A 26,413-nucleotide genomic window follows, 5' to 3' on the forward strand; every position below is an offset into this window, starting at 1 on the left:
AATATATAAGCCAGCCACAGTGGTATGTGCCTGTAGTCCCACCTACTCAGGAGGCTGAGGCAGAAGGATCAGTTAAGTCCAAGAGTTTGAGGATGTATTGCACTATGATCACATCTGTGAATAGCCACTGTAGTCAAGCTATATAGCAAGAACTCACTTCTAAAAAGAAAAAAAGTTAAGGTATGCATGCAGATACTAATAATTTAAAAAGCCAAAGTGGCTACATTAAAGTCAGACAAAACAGAATTCAGAACAAGGAATACTACCTGGGTGAAGGAGGATATTATATAATGATAAAAGAGTCAATTTGCCAAGATATAATAATCCTAAATGTGTATCTATCTAACAGCAGAGCTACAAAACACATGAACCAAAAAGTAAAAAGAACCAAAAGGGGAAAACAGACAAACCCACAATTACAGCTGAATGTTTCAACAATCTTCTCTGTCCCTTTATAATAAGTAGACAGAACAATTTGTGAAAACAGAGAACAATATTATCATACAACTCAACCAAACTGAAACTTACAGAACACTCCACCCACCAAGAACAAAATACAAGTGCATGTGGAATGGACCATTTACCAAGATAGACCATACTCTGGGCCATAAAACATGTCTCAATAAATTTTGAAGCATTGAAATAATACAAACAATATTCTTTGGCCAAAACAAAACTAAACTAGAAATTACTAACAGAAGAATATCTGGAAAATCCCCAAGTATTTGAAAATTAAGCAACACATTTCTAAAAAAATTCAAAAGTCAAAGAAGAAATTCAAGGGAAATAAGAAAATACACTGAACTTGAAAGACAATAAAAATACAACAAAAAAATGTATGAGCTGCAACTAAAGCAGTACTTAAAGGGAAATTTATAGTACAAAATATTTATATTAGAAAAAAAGAAAAGTCTCATATCAATGAACTATGCTTGCACCCTAAAAAACTAGCAAAAAAAGAGCAAATTAAACTCAAAGCAAGCAATAAGAAGAAAATAAAGAGCATAAATCAATAAAACAGAAAAATGGCAGAGAAAAAAATCAATGAAACCAAAAGCTGGTTCTCTGAGGAGGGGAAATCAATAAACTTGATAAACATCTATCCAAACTGATGAAGAAAAAAAAAAAGAGAAAATATAAATTACCAATATAGGGAATGAAAGAGGGAAGCTAAGTACAGACCCTACAGACATTAAAAATGAATATTACAAACAACTGTATGCCCCATAAAAGTGACAACAAAATAAAACAAATTTCTTCAAAGACACAAGCTTCCAAAGGTCACTGCTAAATAGATAACTTAAATAGTCCTGTATCTATTAAATAAATTGAACTTATGGTTTAAAATCTTCCACGAAAGTAAACTCCAGACGCAGTGGCTTCACTGGCAAATTTTACCAAACATTTAAGAAATAAACCACTCTTAAACAAATTCTTCTAGAAAACAGAAGATGAGCAATGAGAGAACACTTCCCAATTCATATTATGAGGCCAAAATTAACTAATATTGAAACCAGAAAAAGAAATTGTAAGAAAGTAAAACTACAGACCAATATACCTCATGAATACTAGCAAATCGAATACAACAATATGTAAAAATGATGTTATAATCATGTGGGGTTGGTCACCATTTAAAAATCAATCACTATACTAACAGACAATAGTAGGAAAACCATGTAATCATGGCAATAAATGCTAGAGAATGTTTAACAAAATTCAACATTCATTAATGACAACAATTGTCAGGAAATAAAAGGGAATTTCCTCAACCAGATAGAGGGCATCTATGAACAACCTACAGCTAACATCACACTTAATGGAGGATAACCTTAATCCTTTCACCTTAAGATTGGACACAAGGCAAGTATGTCCATCTTTACCCTCTAATTTAACATAGTAGTGGAGGCTGTAACCAGTACAATAAGGCAAGAAAAAGAAATAAAAGGCACACAACATTCACATACAACATGAATGTCTATGTAGAAAATCCCAAAAAGGTTACAAAAACTAATAAACCCAATAAGTGAGATGACAGGATACAAGATCAAAAATAGCAAGATAACAGGACACAAGATTAAAAATCAGCATTGTTTCTTGCTTGTGTAAAATGGTACACCCACATTGGAAAAGTGAGGACAGTCAAACAGTGTGGCAGTTCCTCAAAAGGTTATAAACACAAAGTTATCATATGACCCAGCAATTCTGCTCCTAGGTATATACTCAACAGAATGAAAACATGCCCACACAAAAATTTGTACATGGATGCTCATAGCAGGATAATTCATAACAGCAAAAAGTAGAAGCAACCTAAATGTCTACCAATTGATGAATGGATAAATAAAATGTGGTATATCCATACAATGTAATATTGTTCCACAGTAAAAAGGGAACGAAGTACTGTTACTTCATGGATACAACATGGATAAGCCTTGAAAAGATTCAAAATAAAAGAAGCCAGTCACAAGAGACCACATATTGTATGATTTCATTTATATAAAATGTCCAGAATAGGCAAATTTACAGACACAGAGAATAGATTAGTGATTGCCTAGAGCTCAGGAGATTGCAGTAAATGGGGAGTCACCACTCATGGGTAGGTTTCCTGTTGGGGTGATGAAAATGCTCCAAAGTTCATTGTGGTGATGGTGGTACAACTCTCTGACTATAGTGAAACTCACCAAATTGTATGCTTTAATGGGCAGATTATAAGGTAGGTGAATTATATCTCATAAAGCTGTCATATTAAAAAAATTTTAAAAAGTAGTGTTTCTGCATATTGGCAATAAACAGTTAAAAATTAAAATTTTCAAAAATACTAACAGCACCAAATGCCATGAAATACATTAAGATAAATCTAATAGAATATATGCAAGATTTTCATGTTGTAAAAACAACAAAACATTCGTGAGAAAAATCAGACTTCAATAAATAGATATATTTTGTCAGGGATTGTAAGGTACATTATCAAGATATCAGTTTTCCCCAAAATGATCTATAGATTTGCCATAATCCCAATCAAAACTCCAGTAAGCTTTTGATTAAAACTTATACTGGCTGGGTGCAGTGGCTCATGCCTGTAATCCCAGAACTTTAGGAGGCCAAGGCAGGAGGATCGCTTGAGCCCAAGAGTTCGAGACCTGCCTGGGCAACATAGGGCAACCTCATCTATACAAAAAAACAAAAATAAATTATCCAGGTATGGTGACGCACACCTGTAACCCCAGCTACTCAGGAGGCCAAGGTGGGAGGACTGCTTGAGCCCTGAAGTTCAAAGCTGCAATGAGCTGTGATTGACACTGCACTCCAGCCTGGGTGACAGAGCAAGACACTGTCTCCAAAAAAAGAAGAAAGCCAGGCACAGTGGCTCACACCTGTAATCCCAGCACTTTGGGAGGCTGAGGAGGGCAAATCACTTGAGGTTGGGAGTTCAAGACCAGACTGGCCAACATGGTGAAACCCCATCTCTACTAAAAACAAAAAAAATTAGCCAGGTGTGGAGGCATGGGCCTGTAATCCCATTTACCTGGGAGGCTAAGGCAGGAGAATCCCTGGAACCCAGCAGGTGGAGGTTGCAGTGAGCCAAGATTGTGCCACTGCACTCCAGTGTGGGCCACAGAGCGAGACTCCGTCTCAAAAAAAAAAAAAAGAAGAAGAAGAAAGGAAGGAAGGGAGGGAGGGAAGGAGGGAGGGGGGCGGAGGATGAGGAGGAGGAAGAAGAGGAATAAGAACAGCAGCAGCAGCAGTAGCAACAGCAACCAAATTCTTCCAGAAAAGTTCTAAATAATTTATATAGATACCCTTTTCTGCAGGAGGTGGAGCTTAACCTCCCTGTCCCCCAACTTTCAAGTTGGCTGCATTTAGTGATTTGCTTCCAAAGAATAAGACATGATAAAAACAAAAATAAAACAAAATAAAGAACAGACTATGAAAAAGTAGAAAAAATTACAACTCTGTGGTAGAGAAACACAGCAAACACTACCTTAACCAAGTGATCAAGGTTAGTATCATCAGTGATAAGTCAGGGTACTTGGACTGTGTGACATTTTTCTCTATAATCCACAATCCAAGTCAAACCATGAGTAAAACACAAGACAAACCCAAATTGAGGAACATTCTTGAAAACTATCAGGGTCATAAAAAACAAGGAAACACAAACAGTCACAGACCAGAGAAGACTAAGGAGTCACGATGACTAAATGTAATGTGGTAACATGGATGGGATCCTGGAATACAAAAGACATTAGTGGAAAAATTGGTAAAATCTAAATAAACTTTAGAGTTTAGGTTTGTTGTTACTGTGGTAAAAAAAAAGAAAAGAAAAGAAAAGAAAGACATCTCATACAATTTACCCGCTTAACCACTTTTTTAAAAAAGACTCATCAATGGCAGTAGTAAGAAGGGGGAAAAGAGGAGAAGTTCAATCTTTAACTGACTGTGAATAACTAAGATACTCTACTTTTGGAGGCGCCCCTCTTAACCATTTTTAAGCATACAATTTAGGTGTTAAGTACATTTACATTGCTGTAAAACAGATCTCCAGAACTTTTTCATCTTGTAGAACTGAAACTCTACACACATTAAGCAACTCTCTTTGTCTCCTCCCAAAGCCCCTGGTAATCATCATCCTACTTTCCATATCTGTGAATTTAACTACTTTGGATACCTCATATAAGTACTACCCCTTTGTTACTGCTTTATTTCACTTAGCACAATATCCTCAAGGTTCATACACACTGCAACATGTAACAGGACTTCTTTCCTTTTGAAGGCTGCATAATATCCCACTGGGTGTATATACCATATTTTGTTTATCTATTCATCTGTCAATGGACATTTGAGTTGCTTCCACCTTTTGGCACTTGTGAATGGTGCTATTATAAACTTTGGTGTGCACTGGTGTTTGTTTTTTCTTGAGATAGGGTACCACTCTGTCACACAGGCTGGAGTGCAGTGGTACAATCTCAGCTCACTGCAACCTCAGCCTCCTGGGCTCCAGTGATCCTCCCACCTTAGCCTCCCAAGTTGCTAGGACCATAAGCATGCACTGCCACACCTAGATAAATTTTTGTATCTTTGGTAAAGACAGGGTTTTGCCATGTTGGCTGGTCTCGAACTCCTGAGCTCAAGTGATCTGCCTACTTTGGCCACCCAAAGTGCTGGGACTACAGGTGTGTGCCATCATGCCTGGCTAATTTTTGTATTTTTAGTAGAGACAGGGTTTCACCATGTTAGCCAAGCTAGTCTTGATCCTCCCGCCTGGGACTCTGAAAGTGCTGGGATTACAAACGTCAGCCACCGTGCCCAGCCTTTTTTTTTTTTTTTTTTTAATGAGCAAAAGATTTGAGCAAATACTTCTCCAAAGAAGATATATAGATGGCAAATAAGGACAGGAAAAGATGCTCAACATCATTATTCACGCAAAGTTAAAAACAGTGAGGTAGCACTATATATCTAGAAGCAAACAACAACAACAACAAAAAAGTGGAGAATATCAAGTGCTGGATATGATATGGAATGACGACAACTTTCATGCATTGCTGGAGAGAATGTAAAATAGAACATGCATTTTGGAAAACGGTTTGGCGGTTTCTTATATAGTTAAAACATACTTACCACAATACCCCAAAATCCCATTGCTAGGTACATAACCAAGTGAAATAAAAACCTGGGTTCATGCTGGGCACAGTGGCTCACATCTGTAATCTCAACACTTTGGGAGGCCGAGATGGGCAGGTTGCTTGAGCCCAGGAGTTCAAGACCAGCCTGGGCAACATGGCGAAACCCTGTCTCTACTAAAAATACAAAAATGACCCAGGCGTGGTGGCATGTACCTGTAGTCCCAGCTACTTTGGAGGCTAAAGTGGGAGGATTGCTTGAGCTCAGGAGGTAAAAGCTCCAGTGAGCCATAATTGTGCCATTGCACTCCACCATGGGTGAAAGAGAAAGACCCTGTCTCAAGAAAGAACAAAAACAAAAAAAAACCTTGTATTCAATAAGGTACAAGAATGTTAACAGGAGCTTTATTTATCATCGCTAAAAACTGGAAACCTTCCAAATGTCCTTCACCTGATAAATGGATAAACTAAGATGGCAATTCATACAATGGAATATTACTCTGTAATAAAAAGGAAGGAACTACTGATAGATGCAATGACAAGGATGAATTTCAAATGAAATACTATATGAAAGAAGCCAGACTCAAAAGGTTATATCATTCCATCTATAAGATGTTCTGCAAAAGGCAAAACCAAGAGAACAGAAAACAGATCAGTGGTTGCTAGGGGTTGTGCGTAGACAAAGGAGGTGACCTCATATGAAATTTTTTGGATAGTGAAACTCTTCTATATCTTGATTTTTGTGATAATTACACTACTATATAAATTTGTCAAAACTCAAAACTGTACATTTAAAAGGGTGGTTTTTGCCATATATGTAAATTACGGCAAAATTTTATTAACCTCAAAAAGGTTAATAAAAAACAAGTTTTTTTCAGCATAAGTTTATACTTTATATAAAACAGAGCACTGAAACATGCTATCTCCTATTGTTTGCTGTGTTTCACTTTCCTATTTGTGCCCTCCTAGTTAACATTTTTACTCCCTTGGCAGATTTGGACATTCACAGGTATCTTCTCTTATCTTGTTGCTGTAGCTACAAGGGTTTATCTCATTTGACTAGTTACATATGGCCCAGTTGAGCAGGTATGTCAGACTTTTATAAAATATCTCCCCCACTCCAACTCTTTCCTTTTCTCGTTGAAAAGCATCTTTATTCATCTACCAATGAGTGCTAAAACCTCTGGGGCTGCTCTTTACCCTTGGAAAATTCTACATTCTACATTCTCAGGAAGTTGGTGAAGCCAGGCAGATGCAAACCACACTAGGGTAACCTGAGCACATCTAGCCAACGTGAAGTCTATTAGAGAGTTCTTATGTAAGGCTGCCAAGCTCCTAAAAAAAAGAGATGGGTCTTGATGGGACAACTGAGATTTGCTGTTGCATGGGCAACTGACTTGATGCTAAAGCTATTACAATGAGAGAGAGGAGATATTTTAAAAACCTGGGTCCTTGTAGACATTGTTGAGCAACTGATCATACCATTCTAGAATTGTCATATAATTTTCCTACTCTTTAAGATGGTTTTAAGTCCGAGTTTTCTGATACTTGCCATTGAAAACATCCTACTAATACAAGGCCCTACTTGCACTGCCTAAGACATTATAGCAAAGGTTCTCTTATAAAGTTCTCTTAAAAGTTTTCCTTCACTTCTCTAAAAAATAAAGTATACTAGAAAAAAAAATATTTTCCTCCCAGGCAATCCTTCTTTTCCACTGCTGCTTCTATTCTTTCTCCTGGTACTTTTTCCAAATCCTCTCCAGTTTCCTCATGATACAGGAGTCCCAAGGAGAGGTTGGGATTTTCACAATTAATCTCATCACAAAGGATGAAGCAAACCAATCTACAGTGACAGAGGCAAATCAGTGGTTGCCCAGGGATGAGGCACAGTGGGTGAAGGTGGTGAAGGAGACATGAGAGGATTCTAAAGAGATACAAGGAAACTTTTCAGAGGTGACGGATATGGTTATTATCCTGATGATTGTGATAGTTTCACATACGTACACATATGTCAAGACTTATTAAAATTTGTATAATTAAAATGTGTGCAGTTTATATGTCAATTATACTTCAATAAAGCTAATAAATTTGCGCTTTAAAAATAAGATAGTTTTACTGAGTGGCTGTTTCTGTGCAATCTACAGAGATTTTTCCTTAACCTTTATACTACAGGTAGAATTAACTAGGCCCCTATTCCAAACTTATAGGGACACATGAATTCTTTCAGAAATAAGTTATACTTGCTGTAGCTTGAGAGTACATTTTCAGTGAGCCAATCACCAAAAGATTTGCAAAAAAAAGATTTTTATCTAATGCCCACTTCCACTTGTAAGTTATGCTAAAAATACATAGGTACACTAAGATTCCTTAAAATCCTGGACATCCGCAAATTACACAATGTTCTGGGATCCAAGTTCTTTTATTTGCTGCTGTCAATTCCCACCCACTCTTTCACCTCCTTCTCTCTGGCATTCAATGAATCCACAAGCCTCCCTATTCTCTCTCTCTCTCTCAGCAACATCAACAAAGGGCTGCTAACCAGCTTTACACTGAGATGAAATCTGAATTCCTAAAGGCAAAAAGGCCCACATGTACCTTCCTATTGCCTGAGAAGAGGAGACTACTATATTTCTGTGCCACACAGGGCACCAAACAACTAGAGGAGAATCTTTCGTAGTCTTTTCCTCTTATATGCCAAAAGCTAGACAAATGGTGGAGAGAGGAGTAAAAAGAAAAGGCAGCTTACCCATGGAGTAGAGGTTGTCAAAGCTCTGGTGCATGCGGATAATCTCATAGTAAAGTTCATCATAGCTGCTGGGGGTTGGCAGAAATGTGTCGCCATATGTGATAAACATATTAAATAGGTTCACAATCTAAAAAAGAAGGAAAGGCCCATATATAGGCATCAGGCTATGAAGACTAAAAATTATCAGTGGTATGCTGTAGCCAGCTCTTACTGTCTTGCAAGAGTTGACTGTAAAATTTTCAGGAATTTTGTAAGCCAGTTGTTAAACACAGCCATTATTAAAAATTTCACTCATATAAACTTATAATTAAATAAATTATATTAAAATGAAAGTAATAAATATTAAAAACTTATCACTTCCTAATTATTTTCTACCTTTTACTAACCTATGCTCTGGAGATTTATAACTATTATATCTGTGTGGTGCAAACATCATATAATGGTGTGCTACTGCACATTGCTTCCCAACTCTGCATGACTCTGATGTCACATTGATAGCTTGAAATTGGCCATGGTGGGTGTAGCTCTACAATGAAAATCAGCAAATGCTACGAATCAAGACTTTTTTTCCCTCTAATGTTGAACATTTAAGAACACATTGTATAATATCCTAAGAAGATAGTCAAAATGCACAATGGCCTCCTTCTATCCCAAATAACCAGCCAGATAAGCAAGCATCTGTAATGTCCCTCAGAAACCAAGTGCAGCCATGATGGAACCTTCAGAGGGTTTGCTATTTACCAACATAGAGACCGCAGTAGTATACAGCAGTCTCTCAATTGGGACCAAGGCTCACTATTCATACACAGAGATCTAACCTATACCCACCCCTGCCAGACAATATATTTTCATGAAGGAAAGAGAGTCATGCAGAGTTTGCCAAAGACATAGGTGAGAGTGGGGACCACCAGTCCAGATTCGGATCCAAAAAATATATATAGGTCTGGTTCCCTCTATGGCTTAGTCCCCAGACCACCAGCTCCTGTTTCAAACCAGTGCATTTCTGCCTTAGCATATGGCTTCAGAAAAAGAAGTATTTGTTTTGATACTCACCATAAGGGCTAATGTAAAAATGTTGTGTTTGGCCAAAAGTACAGTCTCATTTGACATAAGGAACTTCAGCAAATTTATCAAGGCTTTAAAAAAAAAAAAAAAGACATCAACAAGCTATTCAAACCATGATTAATAAAGTTAAATAAAAACAGACTAGCTCTAAAAAAAATCCAGAAGGTTAGAGTGAGTAAGTCTCAGCCACCAAGGTCTTTTAAAAAGCAGGTAAGGTAGGTATATTTGAGGAAAGCACTCACCTTCCCAAGCACGTGTCTGCTTATCTGTTCATGGAAGGTTTTGAAATAGCTACTTCTTTTTGCCACTTCTTAAATAGCAATTAAGCTCAGAAATCTGACTATAAAACTGACATCTTGGTGTTTCAAATTTACTCCCACATGGTGATTTCCCCATCAAATTTGCTCAATTTACAGGTGAAAATGAGGGTCCCCCTTCCACCCTCAGCTGCTAGCTTCTATTGTCATCAAGCTTTAGACATGTATCTGTTTCAGACATCATTGCTAAGAGGAAAATGTATCCATTCTAACTGGTCACCAGATATAGCAGCTATACTGTATGTACTCCTCTAGATGAGGAGAGCTCATAAAGAGAAAAAAAGCCCTTAACTGCTCTAACTATTCAAACAAAGTGAAGCTTGCGCTGACCTCTCGTTACAGTGACAACATTTATTGAAATCTCTTTCTGCCTGGCAATTCTTAGCGAGGGGAGAGATTCCTAAAACCCAAGCAACCTCAATAAAGAGACTGACTGCCAAGTCCCTAGTTTAGCAGTGCAGCTTCAGACATTTTTGCAAATAAATATTAAGCATAAAAGAAGTTATCAGTTACCTTATACTCATTCACCTAGCACATTTTGTCCATGAAATGAGTCCTGCTTCTCTGCCCATCTCAGATAATGCCCCTGTACCTACCTCCCCTACTTGATGGGATACTATAAAGGGGTTCAGCAGCTGCAGGCAATCTGTGGTCCTTCTGTCTTCTCCCCCACAAACCCCCACCTTCCACAGACCCAAGAAAAGGCTTGACCTCTCTTTTTCTAGGACCATATCTGCTTCTTTGCCAGCAAAGAAGTTCATTCTCCCATGCTGTCAGAGTTTTGTGTGAAGTTTACTACTCTTAAAGTAGAGATGTGAGCTTTGATTTGGAACAGCAGGGAATGATGAGTAGGAGTGAGACTCTCCAGACTCTTGCTGCCTACCACACAACACCCCTCACTCTCAATCCTTTAAAAGCACAGGTACAGTAAAGAAACAGCAGGCAAGGAAAGTACAAGAGGCTGGCTTCACCCACATTCTGTTTCTAAAGCCTGAATCTTCCCCTCAAATAGTAAAAAAAAGCCTTGCCAGGCATGAAGGAGATAGGCATCTTCATTTATAAACTCTTTACCCCGGCCCCAACTTGAGTTCTCTGGGGTTTCATAATGAAAAGGCAAATGATAGGCAGCTGGCCCTTTTAATGGTGTCTGTTAAGTGATCAAGTATCTGTTGGACTGGGGGGACAAAAAGGCTCCAAGGGAGCCCATTCAGGATCACACAACCTGCTTAGCTCCTACCAGGAGCACAGGAATAATGGGGCTAGCTAAAATTCACATAAAAATGACTAACCCAAACTTCCCTCCTTAAAGAAGATCACCTTGCTGAGTGAGCTACGTGGGGGCTGCCCACCCCACCACCTAATCCCCAGAGTTTAGACAAGCCCTGTTAATGATATACTACCTGACAATCGGACTCTATAAAATCATAGAGGCGAGAGAAAGGGATGGGCAGCACGCTTGGCACTCTGCAAAACGTAATGGCTAGAGACAAAGCAGCTTTTGCACACATCCCATCAACAAGGGCTTTTGTCCCCAGGACACACAGCACAGAGATGCAGCCTCAGCAGTGGCTATGTGGTAATTAAAGGGCAGGAAACCTGGAGGAAAGGATGTGGGAGCAATGATTTATTGCTCCTCTGCTGGACTACAGCTAGTCTTGATCTCTGGGATTCAGAATCCAGGATGACAAAGTGAGAAATATTAGAGGAGGAAGAGAGCAACTCTGGCACGGGCAACCTGTGTCCCAACTGCCACAGGCATTAGCGGAGCCAGAGTATTGAAAGGGAGAGTCCAGTACCACAATACTCTGAGAGTCAGTGCCAGAGTGGCTTGCATTCTGCCCCTGAAAATGCAGGTCAGATATTCTGCTCCCCCAAGAACCAAGGTCTTCTCACTTGGAAGTAAGAATTCTCTACAGGGGCTGGGCGCAGTGGCTCACGCCTGTAATCCTAGCACTTTGGGAGGCTAAGGCAGGCAGATTGCCTGAGTTCAGGAGTTCGAGAACAGCCTGGGCAACACGGTGAAACCCTGTCTCTACTAAAATACAAAAAATTAGCTGGGCGTGGCGGTGTGCGCCTGTAGGCCCAGCTACTCGAGAGGCTGAGGCAGAAGAATTGCTTAAACCCGGGAGGCGGAGGCTGCAGTGAGCCGAGATCGCACCACTGCACTCCACCTTGGGCGACAGAGCAAGACTCCTTCTCCAAAAAAAAAAAGAACTATCTACAGGGAATTTAATAGGCAACTAAAATGAAGCCTCTGACATCACAGATGGTAATTCTTCTTCAAGAGAGAATGTCCCAAATATCCCATGAAATAGTGCTTTTCTCCATCATAATCTCCTTGACTTTGCACTCACTATATCAACTGTTCAGTGTCCTATACACCACTACACACAGATTCTAGCCTCTGACCTGATATGATGGGAGTTTTAAGTCTGTGAGGCTTTGACATAGCTGATTATAGATTTTTAGAGCTAGAAAATGCCTTAGGTCATTTAATCCGATTTCCTCATTTTTGGATAAGAAAACTCCATGCCCCATTCCACCCTCACCCCAAACTAGCTGGTGACTAAGCTGGGACTAGGACCTTGTCACCTGTTTAGTGTTCTTTCTACCATGCCATTAAGAAGATAAGCCAGGTACAGTGGCTCATGCCTGTAATCCCAGCACTTTGGGAGGCTGAGGCAGGCTGATCATGAGGTCAGGAGTTCGAGACCAGCCCGGCCAAGATGGTGAAACCCCGTCTCTACTAAAAAATACAAAAATTAGCCAGGCACGGTGGCGGGCACCTGTAATCCCAGCTACTCGTGAGGCTGAGGCAGGAGAATCGCTTGAACCTGGAAGGCGGAGTTTGCAGTGAGCCGAGATTGCACCACAGCACTCTAGCCTGGGCGACAGAGCAAAACTCCGTCTCAAAAAAAAAAAAAAAAAAAGAAGATTAAACAAATAAAGGTGCGAGATCAAGCTGAACGTGAAAGTGGGGTTACAGCTTACTATAAATGGTGTGCTTAGATCTGCTGACTATACTGTTATCAGCACTTCTCTAGACTCTGGTTTATAACTTTCTCCACCTGTTGGCTGCTCTACGTCATTTTCATGTATTTGGTCCCCATTTTCCCTTGGTCCTCAGCTACCTGTTAAAGTACAAGTATTTAATACCTCATTATCGCCTTCCTGTCACTCACTGGCAACACAAAAAGACTCCCAGAAGCTTTGCTCAGCACGAGCCACCTCAGCAGGCCTCTCTGCCAGCTCCTTGGCCTGCTCTCTGCTGTCTTATCTACATCTCAGCTCTCACCTCCACCTCTCTATCCCTTGTGGCTGCTTGCTCTCTCTTTTTTTTTTTAAGCACATAACTATCAACTAAAACTGTTCCTAATTCCCTCAGTCAGTGTTGCCTTCTTCAAAATTAGGTACTGCCAATGGAAGATGATTGGATATGGACATTAAAGGGAGCCAAGATCCCCTTTCTTTAGAAAAAATCAGAACCAAAACAAAAAAATATGGGTATAAACAATTAATAACCAGGTTTATTTATAAACTATTATGGACCGAGCTTTGCACAGGGTTTATGCCAAAAAAGACAGGTTTAGGCCAAAGAAGAAAATGCCCTGTGTCAGGAGCAGTTTCAAGGACAGCAGAGAACTGGCACTCAGGATCTCAGTGCCAACACAGAGCTCATGCTAACAGGCTCCTGACTCACCCCCTCTACATACACACACATTTTTAGAAAACTGCCCTTGATCCACTTGTCCACTTGATGTCATCTGGGCACATGACCAGCCAAATTGTTCCAAGGACACTCACAGAAGTAGCAGTACATACAGGGAAGAATTAAGATAACTAAAAAATAAGGGGATGATTGCATAAACATAGTACGGTTAATCAGTCATACATCTGTAAGACTTTGCAATCAAGTACAGTAAATGTTGCAGTCATGAAGATATGAGGGACAGGATGTACCATTTAATTTAATCCTTTGCCTTATCATGTTTCTCATTGTTAAATAATAGTTTCTAAAATGAAGTGGGGCAAAAGGGCTAATACAGGATTCTTCACCAAAGGCCTGACTCCTGGTCTGAGAGATTTCCAACGAAGCATGACCTTATGGTATAGAAACTTAACACTGTGTAAACAGCTTTGCCCATTAGGTGAGCAATGGCTGCTCACTCCCTCAAAAGAGAATGGCATAGCTTGTCGCAGAGAATATCCTTTTGGGTAAGGGCAAGCTTGGTAGTTGAGACTTTCCAAACCTGAAGAGATAATGCCCATGGGCCCATACTCCACATCCCTGGGAATGCGCTGTCCCAAAATACCAACGTGAAGAGACACATCACAGAGGAATGCATCATTTCCTCCAGAAGAATGACAACTACTACAAGTTAATAACTGTGTCCAGAAGCTCACACAGAGCATCTCAAACTTTCCTTTTTTTTTTTTTACCCTCTATCTGATACCTTAAAAAAAGACACTTAACTACAGAAATCACCTTCCTCAAACTACATTCACCTCTTTTCAAAGTAAGAAATACCATGGTCATAAATGGCAGGAAAGGTAACACTTATTAGGTGCTTGCTAGGTGCTAGATATTATGTAAAGCACTTAAATTATATTCTTCTCACTGAATCCTCTTAACTATCTGATGAAGTAGGTATTATTGTTCCCATTTTACAGATGAGCAAATCAAAATTCAGAAAGGTTAAATAAATTACCCAAAGCCAATATGCTGGTTGGAGCTAAACTGCATTAAGGACAAATCATGCTGGGGAGAAGAAGGTCTCTGAACTCCCACTGCTGAGGTCTATGAAACTGTATTGGATCCACCCAAACTTCAATTTGAAAAATATTTGTTGGGGATACAGGAGCTATCTAGGGCCAATATCTATATTTGCCACCAAAAACCATACTTTGATCACAATTCCACTGATTAGCCCCTCACATAACAAAGTGACCAAAGGAAAAATCCTATAAGCTCAGAGTACATGTCTTTTTTTCTTTTTTTTTTTTTTTTTGAGACAGAGCTCAACTCTGTCACCCAGACTGAAGTGCAGTGGCATGATCTTGTCCCACTGCAACCTCCACCTCCCGGGTTCAAGAGATTCTCCTGCCTTAGCCTCCCAAGTAGCTGGGATTACAGGAACCCATCACCATGCCCGGATAATTTTGCATTTTTTTTTTTTTTTTTGAAACAGAGTCTCACTCTGTTGCCGAGGCTGGAGTGCAGTGGCACGATCATGGCTCACTGCAACCTCCACCTCCCGGGTTCAAGCCATTCTCCTGCCTCAGCCTCCTGAGTAGCTGGGACTACAGGCACCTGCCACCACACCTGCCTAATTTTTTGTATTTTTTATTTCACTGTGTTAGCCAGGATGGCCTCCATCTCCTGACCTCGTGATCCGGTCGCCTTGGACTCGGCCTCCCAAAGTGCTGGGATTACAGGTGTGAGCCACCGTGCCCAGCCATTTTTGTATTTTTAGTAGAGACGGGGTTTCACCATGTTGGCCAGGCTGGTCTCGAACTCTTGACCTCAGGTGATCCACCCGCCTCAGCCCTACAAAGTGCTGACATTACAGGCATGAGCCACTGTGCCTGGCCTATTTACTTATTTGTTTTTATTTTTTATTTATTTATTTTTGTTTTTGAGATGGAGTTTTGCTCTTGTTGCCCAGGGTGGAGTGCAACGGCACGATCTCGGCTCTCCGCGACCTCTGTCTCTTGGGTTCAAGCGATTCTCCTGCCTCAGCCTCCCGAGTAGCTGGGATTACAGGCATGGGCCACTGCACTTGGCTGTCTCCTGGTAGTAGTTTTAAAAGGTCAACTTAAAATAAGGTGGTAGTAGGCTACTGACCTACTTATTTTATGCCATTTCCCTTTCGTTAAAGTAGGGGTTCTCTTTTTCTTTCTTTTTTTTTTTTTTTTGAGACGGAGTCTTGCTCTGTCGCCCAGGCTGGACTGCAGTGGTGTGATCTCGGCTCACTGCAAGCTCCGCCTCCCAGGTTCACGCCATTCTCCTGCCTCAGCCTCCCGAGCAGCTGGGACTACAGGCGCCCGCCACCACGCCTGGCTAATTTTTTGTATTTTTAATAGAGATGGGGTTTCACCGTGTTAGCCAGGATAGTCTCGATCTCCTGACCTCGTGATCCGCCCACTTCGGCCTCCCAAAGTGCTGGGACTGCAGGTGTAAGCCACTGCGCCCGGCAATTTTTGCATTTTTAATAAAGACAGGGTTTCGCCACGTTGGCCAGGCTGGTCTCAAACTCCTGACCTCAAGTGATCTGCCCGCCTTGGCTTCCCAAAGTGCTAGGATTACAGGCATGAGCCATCACTCCTGGCCAGCTCAGAGTACATGTCTCTAAATGTCTTAGGACTTCACTCCACTGGCCTAAGATAATTAAACGCACACAATCTCAAAAAAACAAGCGATTGCAGGAACTCAAACAAGTATTTGTACACCCATGTTTACAGCAGCATCATTCACAACAGCCAAAAGGTGGAAGCAACCCAAATGTCCATCAAAAGATGAACGAATAAACAAAATATGGTATATACATATGGCAGAATATTACTCAGCCTTAAAAAGGAAGAAAATTCTGACAACATAGATGAACCTTGAAGATATTATTCTAAGTGAAATAAACCAGTTACAAAAGGACAAATGCTGTTTAATTCCACTTAAATGAAATACCCAGAGTAATCAAATTCAGAATTAGTGTTGCCAGGGTCTGGCATGAGGGGGAATTAAGAATTATTGCTGGCCAGACACGGTGGCTCACACCTGTAATCCCAGCACTTTGGAGGCCAAGGAAGGTGGATTACCTGAGGTCAGGAGTTCAAGACCAGCCTGTAACATGGTGAAACCCCGTCTTTACCAAAAAAAAAAAAAAAAAATTAGCCTGGCATGGTGGTACACACCTATAGTCCCAGCTACTCGGGAGGCTGAGGCAGGAGAATCACTTGAACCCAGAGGCGGAAGTTGCAGTGAACCAAGATTGCACCACTGCACTCCCACCTGGGTGACAGAGTGAGACTCCATCTCAAAAAAAGAAAAAAAAAAGTTTTTGTTTAATGAGTACTGAGTTTCAGTTTGGGAAGATAAAAAAAAGTACTGGAAATGGAAGGTAGTGATGGTTGCACAATGTGAATATACTTAATGCCACTGAACTGTATGGTTAAACATAGTTACAATGATAAATTTTATGTTTATTTTACCCCAATTAAAAAGAAAAACAAAAGGTCAATGTTTTTCTTTCCACAGACACTCCCAACAGCCTCACAAACACTCCAGTCTCACTTTCTGTAACCTCTGCATAACTGACTGGCTGACATTCACGTCAAAGTACACCATACTAAGTACAGGGACAAACACACAAAGATGCTTCCTCACTGATAGGTAAAAGGAAAGGAGCCAAATATACTCAATCAACAGAGAGCCCATGAACTTGAGCAGGAATGCAAATTCAAAATGAACCCCGGGCAGCCTTCAAGGCAACACTGTGGCAATCTTCAAAATAATCACCAAAGTTCACCATCCAAACTAACAATGCACTAAATACCAACACTATCCTACAAAATCCTCAGGGACTCTGGGTTTGATTCCTAATCCTTGCTGTTTCATCTGTTATACTTAATGAGGTTCCAAGTACTCTTAACTCTGCACCAAGTGAAGAACTGAGAAATTACTGCAGTAAAATATTTGAGGTATTATATTACACATTAAATACGTTTAAGTTGTAGGGAAGTGAGTGCTCAATACACACTCATTTCTTCATTGGCAAGTCTTTCATACCAGGCCCCTTGAAAACTTATTTTCTGGGCTGTTTTTCAGGAACTCCAAATTGGCTACAACTGCTCTCTTTTGACTCTGTACTAGAGGCAACTATCAGTCTCACACTCAGCTTCAGCCCATGTTCCCTTCCTTGGGGAGTCCTGTGCATCATATCTGCTGAAAGAGTATGACAACAGTGTGTAGAGTTCTGACTTTTCTGTATGCACATGCAGATAGAATATAGAAGAGTGTACAGGTTCGGGAAGCTGAGCCAGGACCAGGCACTCTGATGGTTCCCTAAGTCCCACGTGAATTCCTAGAGATAGAAGCAGACAATCTAATTTTTTTTTCTTTTTCTTTTCTTTTTTTTTTTTTTTTTTTAGACAGAGTCTCACTCTGTCACCCAGGCTGGAGTGGTGCAGTGGTGCAATCCCGGCTCACTGCAACCTCCACCTCCCGGGTTCAAGCGATTCTTGTGCCTTAGCTTCCTGAGTAGCTGGGATTACAGGCATGCACCACCACACCTGGCTAATTTTTGGTTTGGGTTTTTTTTTTTTTTTTTTTTTTTTTTTTTGAGACAGGCTGGAGTGCAATGGTGTGATCTTGGCTCACTGCAACCTCTGCCTCCCGGGTTCAAGCAATTCTTCTGCCTCAGCCTCCCAAGTAGCTGGGATTACAGGCGCCCGCCACCACGCCTGGCTAATTTTTGTATTTTTAGTAGAGACAGGGCTCCACCAGGCTGGTCTCGAACTCCTGACTTCAGGTGATCGGCCAAAGTGCTGGGATTATACGTGTGAGCCCCTGCGCCCAGCCCACCCTAATTTTCAAATAGGAAGAGTTGAATACGATCCATCTGAGAATCCTGCCATCTTACACAGTGCCCCCAACACACACCCCACAAGGAACCTTTTTTGCAGAGCTGTTCCTAGCATTAATACACAATGAGAACTTTCCCAGAATTTTTTCTATCCTGCTTTGAATTCAGGAGGAGGGAAAAAAGGTAGCAGCAAATTGTGTTGCCATGTAGCAGTAGAATGAATAATGGATATGAGAACTTCTCCAGGACTAAAACCTGTCCCCCACATTAAGGTAAACCAGGTGCAGAGAGGAACAAGCCAACCACAGGAAGACACAATTAAGTGGTAGCTCAGGCCTCTGCCTCAAAAAAGGAGAGGGGAGGCTTAATTATAAAACCAAGTGAATGACATTTAAATAAGATTAAAAACAGGAAAGAGACAGCCTCCAGGAGAGCACAAACTAATATCTCCAAAGAATCAGGTCAGAGAAAGCTGTCTATTTGAGCAGCTTTTACATGCTATGAAGACAAACAGCAAAGACAACACTCACCCAGACTTGATTTTGTGACCTGGCATGGAGCTAGGTTTAGGTACCACAGAACCCAAATCAAAACCTGTTCATTAGGAGAGATGGATAATTTCACAGTGACTAATAAAAGAATAATATTACCATCTCAGTTGCTTAGGAGAGAAGTCAAGAAACTCAAAGGACACGATGAAAATAGCACTAGTGTAACAAGCTCATGCCACCAAAACCCTGGAAGCACTATAAACTCTAGCCAATTCCAGCATCTCTGGACAAAATCACCAATTACCCAGGGACATTGCCAGCAATCAGCAGGCTCACTGTCAATCAGCAGAGTGGTGCAGGAGAGAATCTGAAGCCAACACCTGCCAGTAGAATAATTTAAAAATACTCAGCCAGATGCGGTGGCTCAAGCCTGTAATCCTAACACTTTGGGAGGCCAAGGTAGGTGGATCACAAGGTCAGGAGTTCAAGACCAGCCCGGCCAACATGGTAAAAGCCCGTCTCTACTAAAAATACAAAAATTAGCCAGGCATGGTGGTGTGCGCCTGTATTCCCAGCTACTCGGGAGGCTGAGGCAGGAGAATTGCTTGAACCAGGGAGGCAGAGGTTACGGTGAGCTGGGATCGCGCCACGGCACTCCAGCCTGGGCTACAGAGCAAGACTCAGTCGTGGGGGGAGCAGGGGGCGGGGAACAACTCTAGGTGGCTTTTCAGAATACAGGCATCTGTCTGGATGCAAGCCTAAGCACTTCACTGACACAGAGGCCAAAGAATCAAACAAGAAAATGAAATGGCTCTGGCTGTATGCTATCAGCCTCTCCAGGTGAACACAGCACACAAGTCAGTATGTCAACAGCCTGCACTGACTAAAGGCTCCACATTCCTCTAAATGAGTCAGAAATAGAACAAATCCTTTCTTTAAACGGAAATCTGCTTCCATCCTTACCATTTTCCTTGCAGTCAATGTGTATCTGCTAAAAAAAAAAAATAAATAAGGTTCTCAACCATCTTCCATTCCCCATTTTCTTGCAGACAATGCAAACCTCACAATTAGCACCCAGCCTCTTCTTTTTCATGAAAATGAGTTTCCACATGAAAGTTCCCAGATCCTAGACTTTGGGAAATGTAGGGTCCCTGTGCAGCTGCCTCTAACCAAGCATGCTCAGGAGCCACTGCCTTCTTCTAGGGCCCTATACCACCTGCTCCTTTCCCCCCACCGTTTCCTAAAGGAGTGATAGCCAAAATCACCCTTTAAGAAATCTAAAAGTCAATGAGACCATGTCTCAGTGGAGCCATCTGACACAGAACCAATAACTTTACTTTTTGCCAAAATGAGGTAGGACCAATAACAGACTTGTCTTGCTCCCTCGAGATCCAGAGAAGGATGATACCTTATGAAACCACATGACATGTCCCTTTGAAACTAATATAGGCAGAGTAACCAAAAGCACAGCTAATCCTTCCCTGGTCCCTTTTACTTGACAAAATGCTCATGGGCCTATGAGAGTTGACATTTTTCTGGATAGGAAGTGACTGCATGCACAGAGAAAAGAACAAAGTGATTTCTTGCTCTTTTGGGGGCTTTTACGTGGGAATCTTTTTCTCCCTGTAACAGGCTAAACCTGTTAGAGATTCTTATCTTTTGCTTCTGCCAAGTTTCTGAGGGGATGAGAGAAAGATTCAAAATAGTGTAAATTTTGGATTCAGCCAAATGTAGTGATTTGAAAGGGAAAAAAGCTTCCTGGCATTCCTTTTTAGTCCTTGGGCTTTCTATACTGCTGTAGACAATATTTCATAACTACATTATAGAACCAGAAAGATACCTTCTAATGCCCCTGAATTAGAACATTCTAATTTTGAGAGGAATTGATCACCCATAGAGGAAAAGAGGCTCTCTATTTTTGCATATGGAAGCTAAAGCAGTCTTAATTAGGCACATCAGCCTAGAATATATCTTGTGACATATTTGCCTAAATCAGAGAAAATTTAGCAGAATGAGGAAGAGCAATTTTAAAAACAAGATAGAAATAGCAGCTGCCAAAATTCCCCTTCCCATCTACTCTAGTTTTTACTGCTATGTTCTTTCCCGCCTGGATACTCTCTTCAAAACTAAAAGAAGCAATGTTGTAGAGTTATATAAGATGTCATCACTGGAGGAAGCTGGGTGAAGGGTACATGAAACTCTATATACTATTTTTGCAACTTCCTGTAAGTCTATAATTACATCAAAATTAAAAGTTTAAAAAAGAAACTAAACTAAAAGAAGCACACAATGAAAAGTTCAAAGCATAGTTTCTCAAAATCAAGAGGGGCTGCTGAACTATCAAAGCTACATCTACACAAGAACTGCCAGATAAATCTATGGCTTGAGTCAGCCTTTCTCTTGAAAAATTTCAGTCCTGTATGGCAACACTTAAAAGTAAAACAAGCTTCCAACGAAAGGCTCTCAATTGCCAGTCTTGAGATGTACCTAACCAAGAAGTCATAGGCCTCTGCCAGTAATAGGAGAGCCAGCTGGATCCAGAACGCTGTGATACTCCCTGGGTTTTCCATTTTTCCCAGTAGATATCTAAAAGGTCAGGCCATGTACAATTTCTTTTTCACAAAGCTGTGAATGCTTTGGATGTTACTTAGCACAGTGAAGCTGAACAGATTGTTCTGGGGGCTTAGGGGGCCTTTCTTCCTGCAGGCAAGCAAATGTTGCTTAGTGATCTGTGTCTGAGCATAGGAGTCAGGAACTCTAAGTTCTAATCATGACTCTGTTTAGCGTCTGGTTCCATGATCCTTAGCAAGTCACTTAACCCTTCTATATCTCTACTCCCTTCCCCAACAAATGGGGATAAAAATAACGACTTATCACCGGGATGTGGCAGAGTGAGAGGGTAACAACTGTGATCCATAGATAAATGTTGAATATAAAATGTCAGTATAAATCTGCCTTTAAAACAACCCATGTTTTCAGACGATGGAAAGTCATACTATTTAAATGCAGCCTGCCTCTCCAATGCCCCTTCTTCCTGCAGTGGAAGTAAAATAAGCTGACTCCATGAAGCTCTGTTCAAGTATTTCTCTCTCCAACAACTACACACTTCTCTCTGCACATCCTGCTCAATCTTTGCTTAATGGCTTAGAAACCATCAAAGTTTCCATTTTTACTTGGTTAAAAGCAATCCATGCACCTGTGGGTAAGGAAGAATGAGAAAAACAAAAGAAATTACTAACTACTCTCTCTCACATCAACAAATCAAATAAACTAAGGTGGATGGCTGGCCCTATCAAAGGTGATGATGTCAGCTCAACAGAAACATTAACAACATCCTACTGGGTTCTATTATTATTATTATTCGGCTCAAACACAACATTGTGCTGCTTTTGGAGAATGTTGATCCATCATTAATGAAAATCTTACATATCCATTCATCCATTTATTTGTTCATCCAAATGTTATCTGAGTTCCTATTAAAAAGCTAAGTAGGCCGGGTGCTGTGGCACATGCCTATAATCCCAACAATTTGGGAGGCCAAAGCAGGCAGATCACTTGAGTCCAGGACTTCAAGACCAGCCTGGGCAACATGATGAAACCCCATCTCTAAAAAAAAAAATACAAAAATAAGCCAGGCATGGTAGTACGCATCTGTAGTCCCAGCTACTTGGGCGGCTGAGGTGGGAGGATCCATTGGGCCCAGGAGGTCGCGACTACAATGAGCCATGATTGTGCCGCTGCACTCCAGCCTGGGCAAGACCCTGTCTCAAAAAATAAATAAATAGCCAAGCAGTCTGCTGGAGATGTAACAATGATTAAAAAACAGGCCCTGCCCTCCAGGAACTTTTTTGAGAGGAAATATAGATATTTAAACAAATCATTGTAAAAACATATGAAATTAGCTGGGGCATGGTGGCTTGCATCTATGGTCCCACCTGCTCAGGAGGCTGAGTTGGGAGGATCACTTGAGCCCAGGAGACAGAGGTTGCAGTGAGCTGAGACTGTGGCACTGCACTCCAGCCTGGGCAACAGAGTGAGACCGTCTCCAAAAAAAAAAAAAAAAAAAAAAGCAAACATAGCAAAACAATGTGATACACTAAAATAGGGGCCCAATATGCTATAGAAAACACTCCAAAAATAAGACATAGTGAACAAAATGGTCTATAGCCTCAAGAAGTGCAAAGGAGATTGCTAACCTAAAGTTCCCAGTAGGAGCGCAGTGTGACTAGTAAATAAAGAAAAAATACTGGCCGGGCGCAGTGGCTCACACCTGTAATCCCAGCACTTTGGGAGACAGAGGAGGGCAGATCACCTAAGGTCAGAAATTTGAGGCCAGCTTGGCCAACATGGTAAAACTCCATCTTTACAAAAGTTAGCCAGGCATAATGGTGTGTGCCTTTAAGTCCCAGCTACTTGGGGCAGGAGCTGAGGTGGGAGGATTGTTTGAACCCGCAATCACACCACTGCTCTCCAGCTTAGGCAACAGAGTGAGACTCTTTCTCAAAAAAATAAAATAAAATAAAATAAAATAATTTACCTAGATACTAAGATTTCTGTGAGAACAGGATTAATTGGGAGGCTGTGGAACTTAAAATTAAGACAGAGGTTTTTGACACAAGGGGCTTCAGAGGATCCAGAAACTCTGTGAAACTATATGCAAAATATATATGTGCAAATGGACATTTTTTCTGAATACAAAGATGACTGTAGCTTTCATTCTATTCTCAAAAGTAAAGAACTATTTCAGTATGATCTTATCCCAAAACCCAGTTTTCTACCTCTATCAGTGGAGAGTTTTAAGATCTAATCTTTTACTCAGACTGGGAGATCTGGGTTGCCTAGACATCAGAGAAGAGCTTTCAAACTTTCTATATGTGGTGAAAAACAGTGATTGCTGAAAACAGAGCAATGCAGAGCAATAGAACTTTTTCCTTTCCATATTCTAGTTAAAATTAGCCTAAATATATTTTCATACATACTCAGATATCATGGTGACATGCATCATAGAAACAGACAGTGGCAGCAGGGAGTAGATCAGGGCTCGTATCTGTAAAACCAACTAGGAAAAGCTTATCAGGCAAGATTGAACCCCCAACTAATACAGCTGACTCCTCCTTGTCCATAAGATCACACCTGTAAATTCATTATGGGAATCTGGAGACCTCTGGCTACCTCCCCAATAATAACAAAGAGCTAATACAGTCAAACAGCATAGAAATAAAAATCAGTAATGAAGTACAGTGATACTAAACACCCACATTCCAAACTACATCTGGACCCTAGAGGATTGCTTCCTAGATAATCAAGGGCTTTTGTGTGTCCAGTCTAATAACACATGCCTTACCAGTCTTATAAATAACATTTCATTACAGTTTGCAGCACATGTATGGCAAAGGATATATACACATAAGCATATTTGCCATGATGAGTTTCACACAGCTCCCTCAAATCCATAAGTCTAGAAGGCAAAGAAAGAGTGAAAACATGAGCAATCCAACATACGAGGGGTAGTGCCTGCTAAGAGGTAGGTGGATCTGCCATAGACACACTTGTATTCACAGAATGCAATATTATACATGTGACTGCATAGGATGCAACGTTGTGTTTTGCAGCTTTCCTTAACACCTGCTGCTCTGCATCTCACTGTATGTTCCACATATGAATACACGGAGCCAGGGTTCCAGGAGGGCTCACCCAGCCTATACAGGAAAAGGAGCTAACGTCAACTTAGCAGAGAACTCCAGTACAAATGTCTAGATGCCTTCGCGACAAGCAATGGTCCATGCCTAAGGACACTCATATATACTTCCCCTCAGCTCATCAAGGGCCTTAGACTGTCATGCAATCAGTCCTGAGAATAGGACATAATTATAAATAGAGCTGAAAGTTCTGAAAGACATAACGTCAACTGACCAACACAGAATAAAGAATGGCCTTCTTCTTCACCATTTCCTAGTGAGAAGAAAAAAATGCTGAGTCAGAAAAGATAAATATAAAAGACATTTTTAAATCTCTTTCAAAGATAATCGCAGCCAGGCATGGTGACTCACGTCTGTAATCCTAGCACTTTGGGAGGCCGAGGTGGGCGGATCACAAGGTCAGGAGTTCGAGACCATCCTGCCTAACACGGTGAAACTCCGTCTCTACTAAAAATCCAAAAAAAATTAGCCAGGCCTGGTGGTGGGTGCCTGTAGTCCCAGCTACTCAGGAGGGTGAGGCAGGAGAATGGTGTGAACCCGGGAGGCGGAGCTTGCAGTGAACCGAGATCATGCCACTGCTCCAGGCTGGGCGACAGAGCGAGACTCCGTCTCAAAAAAAAAAAAAAAAAAAGAAAAAAGATAATCGCTTGTTTAAGCAAAAATGAGGGCAATGTATTCTAGAGTTTATGACACATGTAAAAAGTAAAATGCATGACTATAATAACACAAAGAACACTTCATACCAATAAAAGTGTCGATTCATCAAGAGAGCAGAGGATACAAAATGGGGATAGGAGGAGAATAACAGGAAGCCCTGAGTCTCAGGAGACAGACCAGAACGAAGAATAGAAGGCAATGTGGACAAGACAATGGAACAGGATAATGAGGAAGAGGACAACAGATCACGAGAATGAGAGAAAAGCCACAGAGATCACAGAGGCCAGAGATAGAATAGCTAGGACAAAAAGGAAAGAAAATAGAATGAAAGAGAAAGTAAAACCAGAAGGGAATCAGAAGATGCAGGCGGAAACAACTACTACTACCACCTTGTTTAGTACTACAATGTGTAATTTCATTCAAGTTATAGACATAAACCATGTGTACTTATTATAAATCCAACAACTATACCAACATCTGAAGATCTGCATCATTATTGTGTTTTCTCTTTAATCCTATGCTTTTAGAGCCTAACAATCATACAACTATCCATAGGCAGCAATAATAGTCCTTTATATTAAAAGGAGGTGTTGCTACCTAAGAAATTCTACTGTTGGTCATTTCCATCTCTTTTGATCTCTCTTTAACTCTCCTGACATTCTTTCAATCTCAACCTCTCACACAATCATACTCTCCTCTCCTAAAATATCAAAATGCCACTATTGCCACTTAATGTTATTCTCCTACTCCCCCTTTACCACCATAGGCAGTAACTGCAAAAACTTGCTAATCCATTAACTAAAGATCTCTACTTCCCATTATGGAGGACTAAATTTAGAAAGCCAAACTGGGTTGGGAGGAAATCATGTGTCACAACGAATGAGATGAATTCCATGGAAGGGGGCTGGGTTACTGGCCTGTTTCTTATAAAGGCTCTGACACTAACACACCCTATTCTGCTGAAAATACAGAGCAGCTCTCCCATGGGTGGGCAACCCTTCATCACTGTAATCATCTGGAGAAGATTTTATTGTACCATCAGGTCTCAAAAGCCACAGGACCTAGTAGCAAGCAACTGCCTCAGGGAACATGTCTCCTCTGCTTTCCTGAAACCTCCAACTTAGTCACACAAAAGAAAGGGGTGGCAAGCCAGCATTAATTGTACCCTTAGAGAAGAGGCACTTCCCCCCTGCAGGGGTAGCAGTGACTTTACTGGGCTACCAAATGGTTAGAAAGACAAAAGT

The 26,413-nt window shown here is 40.9% G+C and overlaps 1 protein-coding gene across 19 annotated transcripts in view, besides 1 other annotated feature; it reads right to left on the reverse strand.

Moving 5' to 3' along the window:
- Nucleotides 1-26,413, reverse strand: part of ARMH3 (armadillo like helical domain containing 3) — a 210,575-nt gene that overhangs the window by 102,637 nt on the left and 81,525 nt on the right. For 14 of the 19 annotated variants that reach the window (XR_001747199.2, XM_047425735.1, XM_011540157.3 and 11 more), the window contains 2 exons: nucleotides 9,415-9,497; nucleotides 8,362-8,488 (listed from right to left, as the gene is read on the reverse strand). The exons of 4 other annotated variants lie outside the window; for them this stretch is intronic. Coding sequence is in view for 13 of the 15 variants with exons in the window: in XM_047425735.1 (XP_047281691.1) it covers nucleotides 8,362-8,488; nucleotides 9,415-9,497 (210 nt within the window). In the remaining 2 variants the exon portion in view is untranslated. Of the gene's footprint in view, nucleotides 1-8,361; nucleotides 8,489-9,414; nucleotides 9,498-21,935; nucleotides 22,010-23,792; nucleotides 24,272-26,413 lie in introns of those variants that run through there. One more of the 19 variants, XR_007061987.1, reaches the window with a different exon arrangement.
- Nucleotides 25,372-25,521: an enhancer, noted in NCBI's record as "active region_3919". NCBI's record gives its function as "activates an Ori minimal core promoter by ATAC-STARR-seq in GM12878 lymphoblastoid cells {active_cell/tissue: GM12878}" and the evidence as "EXISTENCE:reporter gene assay evidence [ECO:0000049][PMID:35858748]".

The sequence above is a fragment of the Homo sapiens genome, chromosome 10 (genome assembly GCF_000001405.40).
Source record: "Homo sapiens chromosome 10, GRCh38.p14 Primary Assembly".
NCBI lineage: Eukaryota > Metazoa > Chordata > Mammalia > Primates > Hominidae > Homo > Homo sapiens.